The sequence below is a fragment of the Homo sapiens genome, chromosome 9 (assembly GCF_000001405.40).
Source record: "Homo sapiens chromosome 9, GRCh38.p14 Primary Assembly".
In the NCBI taxonomy this organism is placed as follows: Eukaryota; Metazoa; Chordata; class Mammalia; order Primates; family Hominidae; genus Homo; species Homo sapiens.
The window spans coordinates 99,005,638-99,027,943 of NC_000009.12; the positions used below are offsets into that span (position 1 = coordinate 99,005,638).

Sequence of the window (22,306 nt, forward strand, 5' to 3'; positions counted from 1 at the left end):
TCACCTAATCCAGAATTTTCTTCTCTCTTCCTTAAGTTCTATATCCCATCAAGCATCAAGTCTTGTTGATTTTTCTGCCCAAACACATCATGAATCGCCGGCTCTGTCCTCCTCCAATGCTGGCCCCTGTGCTGAGCCTGCCGTGTCCCCAGCCCGGGCAATTGCTAAGAGCCCTGTCTGGCCTCCTCCATCCTCTCACAGCTTGTCTCCAGTCTTTCAGCCCCACTTCTTGGAAGCTTCCCATCGCCCTTCCCTGCAGACCCAGCTCCCATACCTGGCCTGAGAGCCCTTGCAGGGTCTGGCCTACCTAGCCTTGCTGACCACCTCTTGGGCCCGTCCTCTCTGCCTCTCAGCAGCACTTCAGCCACACTGACCTTTTTCTAGTTTCTCCATCATGCCTCTCTTCCTCATACCTCTTCCCTCATCATGCCTCATACCCTCTTCTCTCTGCTGAGAACCTTTCTCCCTTCTCTCCTCCTTTTAATTCTAGCTTATCCTTTAGAATTCAGCTCAAACACCACTTCCTCAAGAAGATGTCATTCCAGACTGTGAACTCTCCCCATTCTTGTCCTCAAAAGGCCTCATCATCATTGTAGTTGATAATGAACTTGGCAAATAGTTCATGTCTGGCTCCCTACCAGAATGTAAGCTCTGCTAGAACAGAGATTACTGATACAATATTTTGTTCATTGACATACTTCATTCCTGACCAATGATAGGCACTGAATGAGTATCTGCTGAGTGAGTGAATGGCTGGGGTCATCAGGACATCACAGATCAACAACGCCGGCCTTTGATGTCATTGCACACACTTGTGCCCCTGGTCTGTCTGTGCTGGTCAGGCAGCCTTCAGCCTTTTAGCATCCATGCTGGGAGACCTTGCAGTGTGGCTGGGGGTGGAGGTGGGGGACATGCACTGATGGTGCCACAGGCCACTGGGCAGTTATATGGATTCTTTCAGTGAACAAAGTGGCTGTCTCCTTCTCCTTCTTCTTCCTCTTCCAGTTGCCCTTTCCTTTCTCCTCCTCTTCTTCTCCACCTCCCCTCCCTTTCCCTGTCTTCCCCTTTCTTTAATGTCTAGGCACTTACGACAGAGTGGGAAAGCCAGGGATCAGGTTCTACCAAGTCCTAGCTTAATAGAAACTAGAATTTGACCAGCAGGGTTGTCTGAAGATAGAAGGGCTATCTGTAGAGGTGGTGAGGTCCTAGTTACTGGAGGTGTATCAGCTGTAAAGCAAAGAGTATTTGAAACAAGTCTCAGTCAATTTTGGAAGTTTATTTTGCCAGGGTTAAGGATGCACCTGTGACACAGCCTCAGGAGGTCCTGACAACATGTGCCCAAGGTGGTTGGGGCACAGCTTGGTTTTGTGCATTTTAGGGAGACATGAGACATCAATCAATATATGTAAGGTGTACATTGGTTCAGTCCAGAAAAGCAGGACAACTCAAAGTAGGGAGGGGGCTTCCATGTCATAGGTAGATAAGAGACAAACGCTTGCATTCTTTCAAGTTTCTGATTAGCCTTTCCAAAGGAAGCAATCAGATATGCATTTATCTCAGTGAGCAGAGGGATGACTTTGAGTTCTGTCTGTCCTTTGTCTGTAAGGAATTTCCTTAAGGACAAATTGTGAGGGAGGTATGTACCTTTCTTATCTTAGTAGATACCTTTTAAAGGAATAGCATGGGAGGCCGTTTTGCCCTAAGCAATTTCCATTTTCATTTTTCCCTTTGGCTTAGTGATTTTGGGGGTCCTGAGATTTATTTTCCTTTCACATTTCCCCCTTTTTAAAATCTTTCAGATAAAGCATTTTAAAGAAAATGAGTCTCTAGTTTCAGGTTTAGTTGATTTCTCATGGCTAGGAGGGTTTATTCCTAGACAGGTAGGTCCCATGTTATTAGGAAAGTTCACTTTTATCAGGCTGTGAAGTCTCATGCCCTACAAGAGAAAATAGCGGGAGGGAGAAAAACAACAAATAAAAAAAGAAGAACAATCCTGGAAAATTGATATAGGTCATATTACTCTGAAGTCCATACATCAGTAGGCAGGTATGAAAGTGGCTTATTATGTAAATAGGTTGCTGTTATTTTCCTCTGAAGTTTAAGTTGTCTAGCTTCAGTTTGCAGGGCTTTAAGAAAGCATGGCTTAATTTTAGTGATTTCAAAAATGGGGAAAAAATGGAAAAGAAGAAGAAGAAAAAAATTTGAAAACATTATTATGGAGACTTGTAGCCAGTACAAATTTTAGAATTCAGTCCAAACTGTAGAAAATAATAAAAATTGAAAAACATTAGGCAAGACCAAAATCTAACAACAGGTGTTCTATAGTTTATTTTAAAACATAAGTTTTCTCTTTCCAGTCCCATTTTCACTAAAGAAAAATCATAGGACAATTTCATTTGCAAATTAAGTTTTAGTCTTATTATACTTGGCCTGAGTATTTGCATAAAGTCAGCAAAAATAGTTATTTGCCATATAGGCTCCTCTTTTTTTTTAATTGACTTTGCTGGAGCTTTATTCCATAAAGAATCTCAGATTTGACTTTAAGGCCTTAAGGACAGCCCATGCCTGCAAATACCTGTATTAATTGGGTGAAGGCCTCACCTTGAGGTCTCAAGAAAACTTGGGGCTCCTGGACCTGTCAGAAAGTGACATTCTTTACTTACCACAGGTCAGGAACCTGTACAGAGATTGTGTAGACAAGGTATGAGGCCAGCTTTCCCAAGGGCTTTTATTGGCTCTATAAATCAACTTTGGTTCCTTAAAGGAGTCTGTATCTGATAGCATGCCATTCCAGTCAAAACCATGGTAAAATAACCAGTGTCTCCAGCTGTGCTCTGTTACAAAAGAAAACAGATTGTTATCACACTTACACAAATAACTATATTGTAAGTTAAGAATACTCACAACTAATTACCAAATTTTTGGAGAGATCAGGTAGAAATATGCTCCAAATTTTGTTTATATGAGTATATTTTACTCATTTTTTTTTGAGGCTGAGTTTCTCTCTTGTCTCCCAGGCTGGAATGCAGTGGCATGATCTTGGCTCACTGCAACCTCTGCCTCCTGGATTCAAGTGATTCTCATGGCTCAGCCTCCCAAGTAGCTGGGATTACAGGCATGTGCCACCACCCCTGGCTAATTTTTGTATTTTTAGCAGAGATGGGGTTTCACCATGTTGGTCAGGCTGGTCTCAAACTCCTGACCTCAGATGATCCACCTGCCTCAGCCTCCCAAAGTGCTGGGATTACAGGCATGAGCCACTGCGCCTGGCTACTCAATTGTTAAAAGCTGTAAATAGCTCAAAAGAAAAGTTTTCTTGGCTCCGATAAACAAACAAAAAAAGGATCAGCAATGTTTTAAGCAAAAAGTTATAAAAGGATTTTCAGTCTTCTAAAAGTCCACAGTTAACTCCTGTTCTGCATGTTATTCATGAACATTTCAGCTCTTCATGGGAGCCTTGGAAGTTTTTTCTCTATTCTAACATTACAATCTTCAAAACTTGCATTGAAGAGCACCTATCAGAGTCCTATGCCGATTATAAAACCACCTTTTGAAAGGGATAAAAGCAAAACAACTGTGGATGACAAAAGTGTTGAAACAGTCATAGTTAAAGACACAATTGACAAGGAAACTTGGTTACTTCTGTGGCATACAGCAATTTTACATAATAATTACTACTGATAAAATATGCTAAAACATATCAGAATCACAGGAATTTCATACAACTCTGAGCACATACTAATAACACATTTATGTAAATATAATCCAAAGAAGGTTAAACACTGTTTCATATTTGAAAATACTTCCTGTATGATTTTATTATATCGAATAAGCCAAATATGTCTCTTTTGGACTTCAGGGGAATAATAGCTCAGAAGAAAAGCTTTCTTGGTTCTGAAAATCAAAAAATTAATGGGACCTAAGTTAGAATTTGACTTTGGAAATTTTGTCAAATATAAAAAGTATAAAACACTTGATATCACAAAATAGGATCACAGGTCATTGTAAAATAAGTCATTCATTTAGCCAAAGTGATACCTCAAAGAGTTAAAAAAAAAGGCAAAAATATTTATTCTTTGATTGAAGAGATTGATTTCTCAAACAATTAGCCCTAATAAAAACAACAGGAGGCCAATTAAATTTGTTTTTCAAAAATTTTTAAACAATCTATAAAATTTTAATCATCTTGACCATAAGATATAATTTCCATAAGCCTTTTTATAACCTTTATAACCTTTATTAAGGAGTGGGTTAATGCTCCAAGAAAACCTTGTTAATCTGACACAGGGGCCAATATGCTGGTCTTGCATCAGCATGCCTTTGACATTAATGGTTAATTTATAGAGAAACTAAACTTATTTTATCTCTCAAAATCTGCCCTTATAATCTCATGTGCCCACCTCTTCTGCAGTAGTCTTTGGACCTTGAGGAGTTGAATAGCTTTAATTTTTGGCGCTATGTCTCACGAACGCAGTTTATTTTGGTTGACATCTTCTACAGGATCTGTAGGTGAGGCTTTAACTGCTGTCAGTGTTTAAGATTTAGCAGGACTTGGTGTCCTTCTTAGACCCAGGAATCAAAGCCCTGTAACTTAATGGCACAAGTACTTTAAAAGCACATACAGAAATGTAGAGCACCTGATTCTGTCACTGTTCTGGGCACCACTATGTAACCTGCCATGATCCCTGGTGGACTGAACAAATGGGGGCAAATGTGGGAATAAAAGACAAGAGACAAAAGAGTATATTTGGAAGAAGGGGTCAGGGGAAACTTGCCTCTTGTGGACAAGGGCCCTGAGCTTTACACAGCCCTCCATATTTATTAGGCAAAAGAGACAGTGAGAAGGGGAGTGGAAGAAGGGGTCAGCTGCTTAGTCCAGAGTAGGCTTGCAAGACTGCATTCCTCAAACAACAGGCTCTAGATGTTGCAGTAGATAACCTCGGCACCCGGGAGTGATTGCCTCCAGCAAACCTTCTGTCGGCGGGAACACTTGTGAGTTTGCTCACATCCTGCATTCATGATAAACAGTTTGCTGTTCGATCATATAGCCTCCAGTGGAATGCTGAGTTGGTCACGTCCCATGGGCCTTCGGCTCCCTTCACAGAAAGTTATATGGACGTAATAACCTTAATTAAAAAAAATATTCTTTTTGTTAATCTGCATCTTTTCTAAGCAAACGAAAACTTAGTAATAATGACATAGGAATTATTTAGATAAAGTGTAAGATCTGTTTATTAGGCCAGTTACCCAAAGGCAAAAGAAAAGACCTTCTGCAGTGCGACTGCTGTTCTCTATGGGGAATATTATATTGGAAGAAAATACTCCTTTTAGATCTTTAAGATAAAACATTTTTTTAGCATCAGGCCACAACATTTATAACCAGAGGAAAAAAAATCTTACAGGAGCTGAAAATGAGTTGAAGATTAGTTATTATTTCAGGCCTTTTAAAAGGCGAGAGAAAACAGAAAAGAGCAAGATGCAATAAAAGTCGAACTTTGTGTAAAAAAATTATAATGCCTTGTAATTTATTAAGAGTAAAGCAATACCTTAAGAAAATTTTGTAGTTCAAACCAATTCTTTAGTGTATAAGTGGTTTTTTAAAAATCAAAACCCAATCTCTGGAAAGACCATTTTAAATAATTTCCCTTTAATTGTAGACAACTTGCTCATATGAAAGCTTTTTTTTTCATCTGTCTTCTTCTTATGATGTAAACAGACCATTTCTGACATGCTTGGACTTTCTAGTTTTCCTGAGCATCCCTCTTTCTGAAAAAAAAAAAAAAAAAAGTCATTTTATTCTAGGACAAAATTTACCATAAAAGATTCTTTCTTGTATAAAATTATTTTTCTTTAAGCTTTCTTACCAAAATTACCTCTTTATTTCTATAACTTTCTTTACATCTCTCTCATTTCCTGATTCCCTTCACTTTGTTTTATACATAACCTTTAAATAAGCTTTGAATGAGACAAAAATTATTCACCTTTTAAAAAACACACTTTTTTTTAGAAAGAATGTTTTCTTACAATATATTTTTTAATTGGAATATACCCAACTAATGAAATATCTATTATTTAATTTAACTTTAGATTCTAAATTATGACACATTTGTCTATAAGTATTTATCCCATTACATTTACCTAATTATTTTTAATACTGTACCTAGATTACTGTATTTATGAAAACTGCAATAGTCATTATTTAAAGTTATTTCCCTGCCAACCATTTTATAGCCTGTGAATTTCAGGTGTTTATCTAAGTAGAACCTTAAGATTAAATATATGGTTATTTTACTAAATCAAGATTTAGCTATTTTCATTAAACTAATGTTCTTGTCTTATTTATCAGACAGTACACAAGCAAAGGTTATCCTGTTTTGGGCTGAGTTTATAGTTTTGTAACCCTTGTGCCAAATTTTGACACCTTATAGTATTTGGCAGGGATAAGTATGAAATTGCTTGATCAATAAATGCAAACAAAAATGTATGCTGGCAATTCTTAAGACATTTCTAATATTGCTTTACCAGTAATTTTAAAACTAGCTTATTAAAGACTTAAGTCGTGTGAACTTGAAAAGCATTTGGGTTTATCATTTAATTTATGAGTACTCTTTAAGCCATTGTCATACCTTGTAGCGAAAAACACAACAAAATGTGTATGTACACATAAACACACACATACATACTCATACAACCAAAAATCCTATAGCTTTTACTTCAGAACTCTAGCCATGAAATATTAATACAAACACATTGTCCTGCAGAAACAATAACAAAAATAAATGTCTGGATGCAAACAGTGGATTTTATCTCAGGAGAAATGTAACAGCAGACTTAAAGCAGGCAGAGGCAGAGAAGAAAGCAGAGAGATAGAGAACTTAGGAACTTTATAGTTGCAGATCGACTTTTGGGCTCTGAATTTTTCTTGCTGTAATTGTGCATGAAAATACCATATATGTTCATTTTACAAAAATACTTGCAAGAAGAGGCACCATAAAACCAACAGAGTGCCTGAAAGAGGGTCATTCTCCTTGTTTTTCCTTATTCTTAGATTATTTGTTTCCCACCCTTTTTTTTTTTTTTTTTTTTTTTTTTGAGACGGAGTCTCCCTCTATTGCCCAGGCTGGAGTGCAATGGTACAATCTCGGCTCACTGCAACCTCCACCTCCTGGGTTCAAGTGATTCTCCTGCCTCAGCGTCTTGAGTAGCTGGGACTACAGGTGCGTGCCACCATGCCCAGCTAGTTTTTTTGTATTTTTAGTAGAGACAGGTTTTCACCATGTTGGCCAGGCTGGTCTCGAACTCCTGACTTCATGATCCCTCCCAAAGTGCTGAGACTACAGGCATGAACCACCGTGCCCGGCCTTTTTTATTTATTTATTTTTTATTTTAAGGGACGAACTGAGCTGTGGCCTAGCATTTTAGTGGAGTGTGTCAAAGTGTGCTGGTTGCGGGTGAGACTCTACAGTGTGTCACCACTGAGCCATTTCCACCCTCTTACGTGTCTCAGTTTCTCTCTGTGTAGTTCTAGCACCTCCAAGAGGCTCAAAATCAAAATGCAGGGTGACCAGCTCCTATATGCACTTCCTGAATGAGGCTTTTTAAACTAATTTTGTTGGGGGTTCCCTGTAGGGTTGCTGCATGTCATGGGGGGGTCAACCCCCCAAGACACTCCCACTTGCCCTCCAGTCACCCAGGGGCACCTTTCAGCTGGGAGGTGCAAAATGCCCTTTCTCTTTGAAGCTGAGGAAACTCATTCTCCCATTTATCTGTGAAAACAATAGTTCAATTCCTCATGCAAAATGCTCACACTAGCCAATTGAGATTAATTTCAGGAGGAAAGGCAATGGAGAAGACACCCTTTAGAATGTACCTCTGAACTAGAATTAGGGTCCTAAACAATAACTTCCTAGGAGAAAAAAAAAAAAAAACAGCTAAGACCACTTCCTGTAAATTGTCCTCAGCCACCTCTAACTTTGTACTCTCATCCACCATTATACACACTAAGGTCAAATCCTCTCCCGGTATAAGGTAATCTCTGGTACCCCCAAAAGCCAAAGAGGTCAGGTCTTACAATACAGGAGAGCAGAGCTTCAGACCTAAGAAGAATCTGCTCATGACTCTTGAAACTCCACAAAGAAAATGGAACACCCCAAAAAGGGGCGGGTGGTGCCTTTGTTCTGAATACTTTAAGGGGTTTGAGTCATTGGAAGCCTCCTCTAGGTTTTTATTGGTACTAAAGATAGTGAAGGGGGAAGGAGGTATAGGGCGGAAGAAAAGTAAACGAAAGAAAAAAAGTTTTTAAGACAGGAAGCAAGGATAGCAAACGTGCATGTTGTGTTTTTTTTTCCCCTCTCTTGCAGCTGTGAGAAATTTTAGCCAATTCAGAGAGGTCTTGTTACCCATAATTTAGAATTCTCATTCAGATTTGACCAAGTCAGGTAGAGCTGGTCAAATCTGATGGGAGAAAGATCAGAACAACAACCAAAAAAACCCTAACAACATGATTACTGAGCACTTTAATAGTAAGGAGAAATTAGGAACAGCTGGTTGTTAATCTTAACTTCAGCTAAGACAAAACCCCAATTCAGCTACTTACTAGAGATAGGTCTTAGGCAGAAGATTGCTCTCTACCATCCTAGAAGCAGGAAAGAATTTAAACTTGCCTTCCCTGTTAGAAATGAGCTCAAACTCCAGAAAGGAGTTAGGTGCCTTCCATCATCCTAGAAGCAGGAAAACTTGCATTCCTTGTTGGAAGCAAGTAAGACTGCAAAAAAAGAATTGTACAGCAAAATAAACTTTAGAACTTGACCAAATTTTGGGAGATCAGGGATTCTCTGGAGGGGAGGCTCCTAGGCCTCAGCAAATTGTCCTATTGGTTTGAACCATAAAGAAAGCTCAAGCTGGTATCAAGCACCGATATGAGATTTGTCAAAGGTCAGTGGCACCTCCACTCAGAATCCCTTCTTGGTTGCCAAAATGTGAACCCCAAATATCTGAGACAGGTCTCAGGAAAGTTAGGTAGTTTATTTTGCAAAGGTCAAAGACATGCCCGTGACACAGCCTCAGGAGATCCTGACAACATGTGCCCAAGGTGGTTGGAGCACAGCTTGGTTTTATGCATTTTAGGGAGACATGAGACATCAATCAGTATATATAAGGTGTACATTTGTGCTGTCCAGAAATGCAGGACAACTCAAAGTGGGGAGGGGGCTTCCATGTCATAGGTAGATAAAAGACAAATGATTGCATTCTTTTGAGTTTCTGATTAGCCTTTCCAAAGGAAGCAATCAGATATGCATTTATCTCCGTGAGCAGAGGGGTGACTTTGAGTTCCATCTGTCCTTTGTCTGCAAGGAATTTCCTTATGGACAAATTATTAGGGAAGTATGTAGCTTTTTTTTATCTTAGTAGCTATCTTTTTAAGGGCTAGAATGGGAGACAGATTTGCCCTAAGTAGTTCCCAGCTTGATTTTTTTTTCCCTTTGGCTTATTGATTTGGGGATCCTGAGATTTATTTTCCTTTCACAAAGCTAAGGCCAGAGAAGTGCTTAGCAGAGATGTGCTAGAAGGGACTCTGGGGTGGGTGGGAGGATGCCCTGAAAGGTACGTTCTAATGCTGGAGCTCCAGGCGAAGGTGTGGTCCTGGAGGAGCAAAGGAAAGGGAATCATGGAGCCTCCAGTTATCTGAGGCTTTAGCGCTTTCCACCCCCCAGCCTCACACCCACTGAACCAGGGGCATGGGCGAAGGGGCACAGCTCCTCATGCCAATTTCATTTCAGGGTCCAAGCAGTGAAGACAGTTTAACAACAGCTGCAGCTGCAACCGAAGTGTCCCTCAGTACTTTTGAGGATGAGGAAGCCAGTGGGGTCCCCACAGATGGCCTGGCTCCCCTCACAGCCACCATGGCCCCTGAGCGGGCAGTCACTTCTGTAAGTGTCATCTTGTGTCCTCTCTGGCTCACAGGGGAGAGACAGGTCTGCATCATGCGACAACAGTCATCCTTGGCCTTGGCAGGGGCACCTGTAGCTTGGTTATGAGCACATGTCTGGGTGGGCAGCTGCTGGAGGGAGGCAGGACACAATGCTGGAGTGTAGCAGAGGCCACAGCCCTGCTCCCTCCTAGCCTTGCCCAAGAATTTACTCAGAGACAAGTGGTCCACAGTTGGCACTGAGGCTTAGAAGAGATGCATATTTCAGAAGGGGTGTGCTGGGGGTAACGATGATCGTAGGTAAGAACGTGCTTTGAAACTGGGCTGGCACCACAGAAACGACTGTTACAACTCCCTGGCAGCCTCATGAGCGAGGTGAGGTGGTGCCTTAATGCTGGTTTTGTTTTCAGGGTCCTGGTGATGAAGAAGACTTGGCAGCAGCCACAACAGAGGAGCCCCTCATCACAGCTGGGGGTGAAGAGTCCGGCAGCCCTCCCCCTGATGGGCCACCGCTGCCCCTGCCCACAGTGGCTCCTGAAAGATGGATCACTCCAGTAAGTGGCATAGAGCTGTAAGATTTGACTTGGCAGACCTTACAGGGGAGAGAAAGAAAGGCCAGAGTTGTGGGAAGGGCTGGCCCCCAGCTTTCTCAGAGGTAGGTTTTCATGTTGGTTTGCAAATTTGGGCATTTGAGGAGCTTTAACCTGAGGAAAGCTTGAGGAAACTCCAGATCATAGAGAAAAAGCAAGAGATTAAAGTCAAGGGGACCTAGCTTTGTGTCCCAAACTGATCTTTGGATTGAAATGAGATCTAACAGTCAGTGTTCTTCTGGGGACAAAGTTGACAGTAAGACGTGGCGGGTCTGTAGAGGGGATGAGAGCATCAGTGCTGTGTGTGTGTTGGGGGTGACCTCCAAGTCCCTGCCAACATGAGTTTTTATGACTCTTGGCTACAACTGTGTGACCTTAAGCAAATCCGTTGATTTCTTTGGCCCTCCGTTTCCTCATCTGTGAAAATGAGTGGCTGCAAGGCCAAGTCAGAGAATGAATGCAGGTTGGAGAACGTTTACAAAGCTCTGTACCCACACCTAGGGTTGTCACCACTTAAGGACTATAACTGTGTCTCTTAGAAATAGGAAACCCAGACCTGGCCCTCAGCTTGGGCTTGTGTGAAGAGGGACTGCTCTTCCAATGTGAACACATTTTTAAAGGAAAATATCTCCTTGGTGATCAGCATTGGCTCATCAGTTCCCCAAACACCACTTGGTCATGCACACTTTGAAAGCCACCACTCAAGCTACAGTCATGTGGCCCATTGGCCACGGTGCGGCAGGACTGACCTGTGAGGGGAGGGGCTGTGGGACGGGAGATCAGGACAGCCCCCTGAGGTCCTGAATGCCCCTTGCTCCGGGGCCTCCTATAGCGGTTATCACGCTGCTTCCTGTCTCTTTAGAGTTGTCTTGCATTCATTCGTTGATTCACTCATTGACTGGACACATAGCGGCTCTGGGCCCTCAGTCAGGACACTTGTAGATAGAGATGAATGTGACCTCACTCCTGTCCGCAACAAATTCACAATCAAGCGGCAGGAAGTAAGCCATCTGAACTGACATTGATTAATCACTCTGTGCTCCAAGTTTACCTGATTCTCTTCACCACATTCCTCTTCAGTATAAGGTGAATGGGAGATAAGATGTGGAGAGGTAAAGTCACCTGCCACTGTTGCCTGCCTCTGAGAGGTAGAGCTGGGATTTGAACCTGCATGCTGGCCTGCAAAGCTGGAGCTCTTGAGCTTCACCCAGCTGAAGTCCTCATCCATGAGAGTGTGGTGTGGTGGGAAGATCCTGGACTGGGGGCCAGGAGTTCGAGGTTCTGCTTCCAGAGATGCTGCTGACTTGTTGTAGGCCCTGGGCCTCCTTGTCATCATCTATAAAAGGAAAAAAGGTGAAGAACAACTCTGGTTTTTAACTCTGGTCACGCATTAGAGATGGCTGGGAAGCTTAAAACAATGCAGGTGTCTGAGTCCAGTGCTAGACCAAGTAACTGAGACACTGGGGCTGGGGCTTTGGGCTTGCAGGGCATCTAGTGGGCAGCCAGCTCTGGATTGACCCGCTCATGCACTGTGACTTCCCAAACAATGTCCCCCTGCTCTTCTGCACCTCACCCCAAGGTATACACAAAGCACCAAGTTCAAATCTCCCTAGTGATGCCACATCGGGCACAGATAGAGCCGGTTCTCCTGTTTCTTTCTCTTTTTAACGTTTTATTATTGAAAACCTAAAAATGTCACAAAGGAGCTTAGACAAAGGAGCTTAGAATAGTATAATTAACCCCCACATACCCATCGTTCAGTTTGGATAATTATCAACACTGACAATCTTGCTTCATCTGTTCCACCTCCTACCACCATCTTTTTTGGAGAGAAGGGGAATACTGGAGTATTCAAAAATCAACCCCAAACATCCTATCATTTATTTAACTGGTAAATAATTCAATGTGTATGGCTGATAGAGTGATCTGGTACCTTTGTTTTGGTCATAGCCATAGTATCACGATGCATCTAACAAAATGAGCAGGGGTTCCTTCGTATTATCTAATGCCCTGGCTATTTTGTTTTAAAATACCTCTTTCCAGTTTGTTTGACTCTGAATCCAAACAAGGTCTACACATTGCATTTGGTTGATACGTCTCTTAAGTGTCTCTTAATCTCTAATTGTCTCCCGCCTTCTTTTTCCCTTTTGCCATTAATCTGTTGAAGAAACTGGGTCAGTTTCTTCCTTAGACCCTTGATGTTTTCAGCTTTGAGAAGTCAGTCTGGTAAGGCTGGCTGTGCTCATGGGAGTGTGAGGGTTACTGCTCCTGGGAAGCTCTTTGTCCACATATATTAACAATCATAAGAGCGCATATTGCTGACCAGAAACTTCTCTTCTAGGAATTGATTCTAGTGGAGATAGTCTGATAGCCTTTGTTGTTGCCGCTTTTTAAAAAAAGGCTTTGTTTACAAGGATGCTAATCTCAGTGTTGTCCATAATAGAGAAAAATTGGGCATAATTTAATTAGCCAACAATAGAAGATTAATTGAATTAAAGTATATTCAAACAATGGAACATTATGTAGCTAATAAAATTATACCTGTTAGAAATATTTAATGATGGGGGAAATGCTTAGCATATAATGTTAAGTGAAAGAAGCTGGTTGTAAACCTAGTATATTGTGTGGTTAACTATTTAAAAATACACACATGCAAAAACACTAGAAGGAAATACCCTCTGTAAATGTTGGCAGCTGTTGCCTCAAAGTGGTGGAACTGTGGAAGGTTGTTAGGTTTTTAATACATTGTGGTTTAATACATTTTCTACTATGGTGGCTTACAATTTTTATGATAGATTTTTTAAAGCTCTGAGAAGGAAGAGAGAGAGAGAGAGACAGACACAGAGAGAGTTAGAGATAGAATGAGAGAGAGAAACGGAGACATGGTTGATGTCTGATGAAGACATTCCTGCTAAGTCCCCACGTTAGGGATCTGCAATGAACTCAGATGAATGCCCCGATTCCTGAGCAGAGTCTAAAAGCACAAGATTGTCAAGAAGGCACCCACCTTGGGATATCTCTAGGATCAGTTTTTTTGTTTCTGTTTTTGTTTTCTTGAGACAGGGCCTCACTCTCTTGCCCAGACTAGAGTGCAGTGGCGTGATCTCGGCTTACTGCAACCTCCGCCTCTTAGGCTCAAGCGATTCTCCTGCCTCAGCCTGCAGAGTAGCTGGGATTACAGACAGACATGTGCCGCTACTACCCGGCTAATTTTTTTGTTTGCTTATTTGTTTGTTTTTAGTGGAGACAGGATTTCACCATGTTGGCCATGCTGGTCTTGAACTCCTGACCTCAGATGATTCACCTGCCTCAGCCTCCCAAAGTGCTGGGATTACAGGCGTGAGCCGCTGCACCCGTCCTCTAGGATCAGTATTGGCCCAGCCTCTAGGATCAGTATTGGCAGATATGTGACAGAGCCAGGCATGCTATACTGCCATGGTGACTCTAGGTCAGTTTGAATCTCAGAGTCACCATGACAGTATAGCTTGCCTGGCTCTGCTACATATCTGTGGCCAGTTTTCTTCACTTCTCTCTGTCACAGTTGACTCATGCATCAAATGGGAATCATAATCTTAGAACCTACCTCTTGATTTGTGAGGATTAAATGAGTTCATCCATGGAAAACATGACCCAGCACATAGTACATGCTCAATAAATTAGCTGTCTAGAATTATTTTGCAGATGAGGCCCAGAAAGGATTAGAGCTTTGCTCCTAGGGGTCCAGTAGGAGTGAGAGCCTTTGTCTCTGGATTTTTTAGTGCTTTGGTTTTCTGCACTGTTTACAACCACTGTCTTCAGACGGGAGCCAGAAGTTGATTAGCAAAGCCCACACTGGTCACAATGATGTCATTACATTTCTAAGGACTGACTAATAGATCTTAACAAATATATGGAGAATGTTGCCCTGGAAATGAAGTAATATATTTAAAAATCTGTGTTGTGGAACACAAGTGAGAGAGAAGACTGATTGTCAGGTGTGGGTGACTCCAAATGCCAGGCTCTTCCCACTAGTCATTTGGCAAATAGGTACTGAGAGCTTATTATCTGCCGGTGCAGGGGATGGTGCAGTGATCAGGCAGCCTCTCTCTTCATGGGGCTCACTGACTTCAGCCCAGTACAAGCCCTAGCTCATGCCCAGCTCACTGACCAGGACCAGGGAATGTCATCGGAACTCAGCAGCCCCATGTCCCAAATATGTTGTGGCCACGTTTTAACCAAATCTTCTTCTTTTAGGCTCAAAGAGAACATGTGGGAATGAAAGGACAGGCTGGGCCCAAAGGAGAAAAGGTTTGTGCTGTGACCATCCTGGGGAACACTTTGGCTCCTGATCAAGTGTCCTGAACATGTTATTTAGGTTTGATTTAGCCCACTCTGATCAAGGGGATCGCAGAAGCAGCAAGAGGGCTAAGCCCAAAAGAAATGGACTTGTAGGTCTGGGAGAATCAGGAAAAGGGCACTGGGCAGTTCTGACTGAGTCTCTTCTCACCACCTGGTGACCGTGGCCAAGTCCCTTGACCTCCGTGGGCCTTGGCTTCTCTGTCGAGTATCAAAGGGTCCTATGATTCCACACCTGGCTCTGCCACACATCTGCAACCAGTTTTCTTCACTTCTGTGTCCGGGCTCTGGGCTCTGCCCCTGATTTTCTTCCTGGGAAAATGTTGGGCAGACAAGAGCTTTTGAGGACCACAGGCCTAGGTTTGCCTTTTTGTAGCTGTGGGATCTCCCGAAAGTTCTTTACTATTTCTTTGCTCCAGTTTCTCCATCTGTAAAATGGAGGTGGTGATGATGACCCTGCGGTGTGGGATGACGTGAGGGGATGTTTATAGAAGTGCTTTAGCTGGTGTCAGTCACTGCGGGAATAACAAATTCCTCTTACCAAAACACCTATTGGTGATAAGCTGTTCCCAGGGGGATGTGTCCACAGTGACCCCAGTCAAGAGATCCTGCCCAGGGAGCCTGCTCTGGCCATAGGCAGCAGCTTGGCTGCCTCTGGGAGCCTTCTCATCTCCACCATGACCCTGGTCCTCTGCCTGTCTCACCTCCCTCTGGGCTGCACAGAGGCCGTTCCTTGCAGCAGATGATGCTCCCGTCCTGGGGCCTCCTGAGTGCCCACCGGGGTGTGGGGAAGGGAGGGCCAGGGCTGGGGAGGGCGGTGTCCTCACTTCTCTCTGCCTCTGGCTACCTCAGTGGACTTCAGATGGAGCAGGGCTCTGGGGTGTAGCAGGAGGCACACAGATTTGGGGACTTTACTGTGGACATTTCCTCTCTCCTTTTGGTGGATCTGGCCATCCTGTCACCTTATTTGTCAGAGAAGCCACTTCTCTGGGCCCTTTTTGACAGCCAAAACCTCCTGGGATGCCACTCTGTCATTTTCTTTCATCTGCCTCTTTTCCAAATGTGTGCTTCTGTCATTCGAAAAGCATTTTCTGGGGCACTAGCCTTGTGCCAGGTGCTGGGACCTGGAGGTGATTCAGGCACTGTGCCTGCCCTTGAGGGGCACATGGTCCCAGAGGGGCAGACTGTGAGCAATGATGTTCCTGTAAAGGTCACACGCCCTGGTGAGAGGAGCAGGTGGGCAGGGCAGGCTTCAGGGGAGTCCACACTGGGCCTGAGCACTGAGCACTGGTGCTCTAGCAGGGCCCAGATCAGAGGGTGGGGATAAATCCTGGAAGAAGGGAGGGTGTGTGTGATGCGTGCTCATACTGGTCAGCTCTTTCCACCACAGCCTGTGCCCTCCAAGTATGGCACAGAAACAAAGGGCTTCTGAGCCCTGGGGTGGGACAAGGCATTCCCTTAAGCTGTCTCTGCAAAGGACAATGCCATTTTTCTTTCCTGTGTGATCCTGATTTTAAAGATGAGCACGATTTCTACAGAAAGGTGGGGAGATGGTAGGAACAGAGTTCCAGCCGTTCACTGACCATTTTGTTCTCTTTAGGGTGATGCTGGGGAGGAGCTTCCTGGCCCTCCTGAACCTTCTGGGCCTGTTGGACCCACGGTGAGATTCCCATCCAGGCTTGTCACACACACAGGTGTAAGACCAGGGATGCGGCCAAAACAGCCACAGGCTGAGGACTCTCCTTTTTGGCCCCCAAAGTATCTTGCAGTCAGACCCTAGGGCTTTCTGCCTCTACTAGGACTCTGCAGTGTGCAGCAGCAGAACTGATTTCTATCCAGTTTAAATCCTGCACCTTGAGCATCCCAGAAGTTCTTCAAACTCAACACTTCCCAAGCTGGACTCATTACCCATGCCCCAGACCTGCTTCTCCTCCTGGGTTCCCCATCTCTGAGGATGGCACCCCATCTATGTGGTCACCAAGAGAGAAACATCCTTGAGTGGTCCTCTGCCTTCCCCAGCCCTGCCCAGTGTGTCCCCATGTCCCCCTGAGTCTAGCTGTGCAGTGCCTCCTCCTCCTCTCTTGGGCGATGGCACCAGCCTCCTAACTGGTCTCTCCGCCTCCATGTCACCACTTCCCTTCCCCCACACACATGTTCCCACCACTGTGACCTTCCTAAACACAGCTGTAACCCCCAAACCCAGCTCTTCTGGGTGCCTCTCAGGGGGTGCTCAGTACACACACATTCAATGAATGAATTAGGCCCTGCCTGGTTCCTGTCTTCAGGAGTTAAGTGCTGGAAAGGTGTTTTGAAGATTCCCCTTGTTCTTCAGATACATTTGATGCCATTCAAGTATGCACTGAGGGCTCTCTGGGTGCTCGGCCTCCTGCTGGACTCTGGGCACCCAGTGTGTCTCAGGTTTGGGCTGGCTCTTGAGCCCTAGTTTAGAGGAGCCGATGGACCCACGCACAACTAAGCTTCGAGTCAGGTGGTCCTAGCATCTCACTGAGACCTTGACAGAGGCTAGTGGGAGCACTGTGGAGGGAGAGAATTCTGCCTGGAAACGGGGTAGGGAGGGCTTCGTGTAGGAGGAGACTGCGGAACTGGGCCTTGAAGGATGAGTTGGGAATTGAAAGGCAGGAAAGGAGGCCGAGGACATGAGTGGGCTGCACAGCTGGGAGGCGGCAAGAGAGAAGGGTAGCTGTAGAGGGGAGTGGGAGAAAAGTCAGAGAGAAAACGGGGAGCAGAAGTTATCGGGCTATAGGATATAGGAAACATTTCCCCATTTTGGAGAAAACTCAGTGACGTGGCTGTCCTTGGAGTCTGGCAGTTAAATGCAAGTAGTGGAAATTTCTTCTCTTTCCAGGCAGGAGCAGAAGCAGAGGGCTCTGGCCTAGGCTGGGGCTCGGACGTCGGCTCTGGCTCTGGTGACCTGGTGGGCAGTGAGCAGCTGCTGAGAGTGAGTGTGAAGGAGGACACGACCTGGTGTCTGGGACTGCCTTCAAAATAACCCCAGAGGGAGGGACGTGGGGGCCAGGGACAGATGAAACTGGATTGGCTGCTGCTGGGGTTGCCGGCAGTGAGCTCATGGGGGTTCATTCTACTTTTCCTTGTGCTTGTATATATGTTTGAAATTGTTCACTTTGATCAGTTGCATTGTAAGTGAGTACGAGCCTACATTTATCTTCAGGACCTCCTCACCCCACCTTCTTCCTTTCCCTGGTGGGCTTCTTGAGCAGGCTGCCCTGCAGCAGGTGTGCCCAGTGCCCTTCACCTCTGCCAACTGGCTTTCAATCCTCCCTCCCCCTCCTCTCACCCTATTCATTAAAGAGACCTGCTGGTTTTGTCTCTGGGTGGCTATTCTACTTCAGCTTCCAGAACCTTCCTGAAATCTCCTTCCCTTATGCATTCCCTCCCTGCCTCCCTCTCCAGGCTACTCTTTCTCTTTGGTGCCTCTTGCTCCCCTGGCCTCCTGCCAAGGCTGGAGCTCCACCAGTCCTTTCTGAAATTGCCCCCTGGGGAGCTTCTACCTTCTCTAGCTGCAGCTGGTGCCTCTGTCCCTGAGAGCCTGTGCTGAATCCCTGGTTGAAAGCTCCACTTGGCTGCCCCTCTGCCCACTCCTCATGGCCAGGGCTAGAAGGGTTCTGGACTCCGTGGTTAAATGGAATGGGAGCCAAATGAATCTCCCAGCCTGGTGGGATCAGCCAACCCAGCAATGGGCTAAAAACACTAGTGCACTTCAGAAAGAGTTTTAAAAACAAGGCTACACCACAAGCAGTTTTTTTTGTTTTTTTGTTTTTTTTTTTTTGAGATGGAGTCTTGCTCTGTCGCCCAGGCTGGAGTGCAGTGGCGCGGTCTCGGCTCACTGCAAGCTCCACCTCCCAGGTTTACTTACTCCATTCTCCGGCCTCAGCCTCCCGAGTAGCTGGGACTACAGGTGCCGGCCACCACGCCCGGCTAATTTTTTGTATTTTTAGTAGAGACAGGGTTTCACCATGTTAGCTGGGGTGGTCTTGATCTCCTGACCTTGTGATCTGTCCTGACTGACCTCACAGTTAATCAGAAAACTAAGTTCACCAGAGCACCTCTCAGAATTCCAACTAATTGGATCTTTCTTGTATTCAGCCTTTTGGGAGAAAACACGATATGATGGGCTCAGAAAGACTGAGATTCAAATCCCAGTTCTGCTACTAATTAGCTGTGTGTCTGAGAGCCCTTGAGTCGCATGGTCTCACTGAGCCTTATTTTCCGCATCTGCTAAGTGGGATCACCAAACCCTACATGTAGGATTGTTGAAAGAATTTGAGAGATTGCATGAAGCACATACTCAGTATCTCATTCGGTATTCCCCCACTGTTTCTAACAGAGTCTTTGTGTTTTTAGGGTCCTCCAGGACCCCCAGGGCCACCTGGCTTACCTGGGATTCCAGGAAAACCAGGAACTGATGTTTTCATGGGACCCCCTGGATCTCCTGGAGAGGATGGACCTGCTGGTGAACCTGGGCCCCCGGTGAGCAACTGAAGTCTTCTCCCCATCTCTGTGGCTGTGGGGCTTCCTTTAGCAGGGGAGGGGTGTACAGATTGCAAAACCCAGCACTGTCCAAGGTTCGCGATGGGGAGAGAGCAGCTAGCTGTTTGTAAACAGAAATCCTCCTCATCTGAATCATTGCTGAGATTCGAAAGAAGCAGCAGCCAAGAAAAACATCATCCTACGTATTGTTTTGCTGCTTTATCATAGTCAATACAGATGGCCCCCTACTTACGAATGGTTCAGCTTAAGATGTTTTTGACTTTACAGTGGTGCAAAGTGATGCACATTCAGCAGAGACTTTACCTTGAGTACCCATACAGCCATTCTGTTTTCACTTTCAACACTTTATTATAAAATAGGCTTTGTGTTTGATGACTTTGCCCAACTATAGGCTAATGGAAGTGTTCTGAGTATGTTTAAGTTAGGCTAGGCTAAGCTATGATGTTCAGTAGATTAGGTGTATTAAATGCATTTTGGACTTAAGATATTTTCAACTTGCAATTGGTTTATCAGATGTAGCCCCATTGTAAGTCAAGAAGCGTCTGTACAGGAGACACAGATTCATAAAGAATCTTGGAATCATAGGCCATCAGGGCTGGGCCTGGGGTAGGAGACCCTTGGAGACCATCTGGTCCAACCCTGTCTCTAACTTCCCCATAGAGGAGGAAATGTAATCCAGAGAGTGAAGGACAGTTAGCCACAGGTGCACAGTCAGCAGTGACCCAGCCTGGGCCAAGGACTAGGTTCCTGCCTTGCACCTGACATGAGGCCCTGGGCCCACCAGCCTCACCTGCCTCCCAACCCTGCCCTCCTTTTCTAGCAAGCGTGTGTATGTGATATTTAGCAGAAATGTTGTGGGTTGATTGTCACTGATGTTCCCCAGGGCCCTGAGGGACAGCCTGGAGTTGATGGAGCCACCGGCCTTCCCGGGATGAAAGGGGAGAAGGTACGGGGAACACGGGAGGGTCCCACCACATGGGAGCCACCAGGCCCACACTACTCTCTCTGACCCCTAAACCTGACCTTGCCTCTTATGTGACTGACCCCCTGGCCTCCTGAAATCCCCTGCTGGCCACTTCTGCTGGATGTCTCCATCATGGGACTCATCATGCCCAAGCCTGAACTCAGCACCTTCCCTGCCCACTCTTGTCTGCCCCTAGCTTCAGTGAATGGTGTTGCCATCTACCTGGTCACCTGGAGCGAGAAATGGAATCTTCTCTAACTCCTCCTTCCCTCCCTTTCCTGGTATGATTGGTCAGTGCCAAGATGGCCCAGTCTGACCTCCACATCTCTCACTTTTGTCTCCCCACTGAGCTGGACTCATCTCTTCTCATTCGCACGGTGGCCTTGGGCTCCCAGTTGCTGTCCCATTCTCTCCACCCACCCTCCAGCCTCCTGCCCAGTTCACCTTCCTGTAGCAGGCTCTCGTCAGCCCCTGCCCTGGCTACTGAGAAAAGATCAAGGGCTCAACTGCCTGCAGGACACACCCTAGCTCTGTGCAGACATCTGGCCCTTCCTGATTCGCACAAGCTGCCTCTGTAGTGCATCCCCCAACTCCTCACACGGCCTCTTGGCCAGTGGGCTGGTTCTGCCCAAATGCTCTGGGCACGCTCTTCCCTTCTGTCCTCCTGGCCTTTGCACATGGTTTTCTCCCTGTTTGGGATGTCCTTTTCCTTTTGTCATCCTCCAAGACCCAGTTCAGATACATCCTCTGGGGAGCTCTCCCTGACTCATTATGAGCAGAAAGCACCCCTCCTTCCTCCCCTTTCTATGAGCATCATAGGAAGTTCCCATGCTATTGAGAACCTCCCTTGCCAGTGACACTAAAGGTGTTAGCTTACCTGTCTGCTCCTCACCCCCACCCTGACATAGAGCATAGTACTGCCTCTCTCTCCTTAGAACCTAGCACAAGCCTCTATTAGTGTTTGATGCATGAATGAAACTTTTTTCAGACACCATTAGTCTACTTTTCCCAGAGTCTGGCCTGCCTTCATCCTCTTCATTCTCTGTCTGTAAGCTGGTCCTGCCTCCTGTCTGCAAGCCTGTGCTGGTGCTACCTGGGGCGTGTATGTGTAGGGGGTGCTTTCTGCCTCTGCAGTGTTCCCAGCTTGATGAGATAAGCCATGTCTGTCAAAGGAAGGCAATAAAGACAAGGTGAGCCCTGTGCTAGGGATGCGATCAGTGGGTTTTACTGGGGTCTAGAGGAGGAAGAGAGATCTCAGCTGGGATCAGAAGTGGGGCCTTCTGTGAACCTCTCATGGACAAAGACGTGGAAAATGCTGACTCTGTAGACACCACCATCATCACTGAACTGAATTTCTAGTTTCCGTCAGCTCTGGAGTATGTTTATTTTAATTGGAACCATAACTCAATTTTCGTGGAAAGCTTATTTCTCAGAAAAAGATACAATTGTCAAGCTTTATAGAACTCATTTTACATGTACCAACAGTTTTACAGAAATTAAATTTTGCAGGAAGCACCACAGACCTACACTCTTCTTACCTGTTCTTCTTCCAGGCTTCCCCCCACCCACCCACACACACCCCTCCCATACTCTGTCTCGAACTTAAAGATACCCACACCCACAACTGCATACAAAACACCCTTGCACAGGCACTCTGCAGCTGCTTGAAGAATCAGCAGTGCAAGGAGCAGCAGGCTTGCCTAGGGTGAATGTTGGAGATCAATCACATTTGTTTCTGAAATTTGCTATGCATCTCAATTTGTTGCACTGTGCACATATGAGGTTTTCTGATCAAGCAAAAACAGACTTGGAAGAACTTGGAAATTTGCATCTGGAGAGCTGGCAGGAAACTTTGCACATGATATTTACCTTAAAAACAAAACAAAACCAAAAAAGTCCCTAATAAACCAAGGTGCATATTCAGTATGTAAAATAACAAAAAATGTGCTAAAGGAAATG

At 45.1% G+C, this 22,306-nt stretch overlaps 1 protein-coding gene across 1 annotated transcript in view; it reads left to right on the forward strand.

The window, feature by feature from the left end:
• The window catches only part of COL15A1 (collagen type XV alpha 1 chain), a 126,881-nt gene that overhangs the window by 61,731 nt on the left and 42,844 nt on the right, over window positions 1-22,306 (forward strand). Inside the window, exons 10-16 of the mRNA NM_001855.5 lie at window positions 9,780-9,929; window positions 10,339-10,482; window positions 14,752-14,805; window positions 16,454-16,513; window positions 17,720-17,812; window positions 19,237-19,362; window positions 20,267-20,329. Coding sequence (NP_001846.3) covers window positions 9,780-9,929; window positions 10,339-10,482; window positions 14,752-14,805; window positions 16,454-16,513; window positions 17,720-17,812; window positions 19,237-19,362; window positions 20,267-20,329 — 690 coding nt within the window. The remainder of the gene's footprint in view (window positions 1-9,779; window positions 9,930-10,338; window positions 10,483-14,751; window positions 14,806-16,453; window positions 16,514-17,719; window positions 17,813-19,236; window positions 19,363-20,266; window positions 20,330-22,306) is intronic.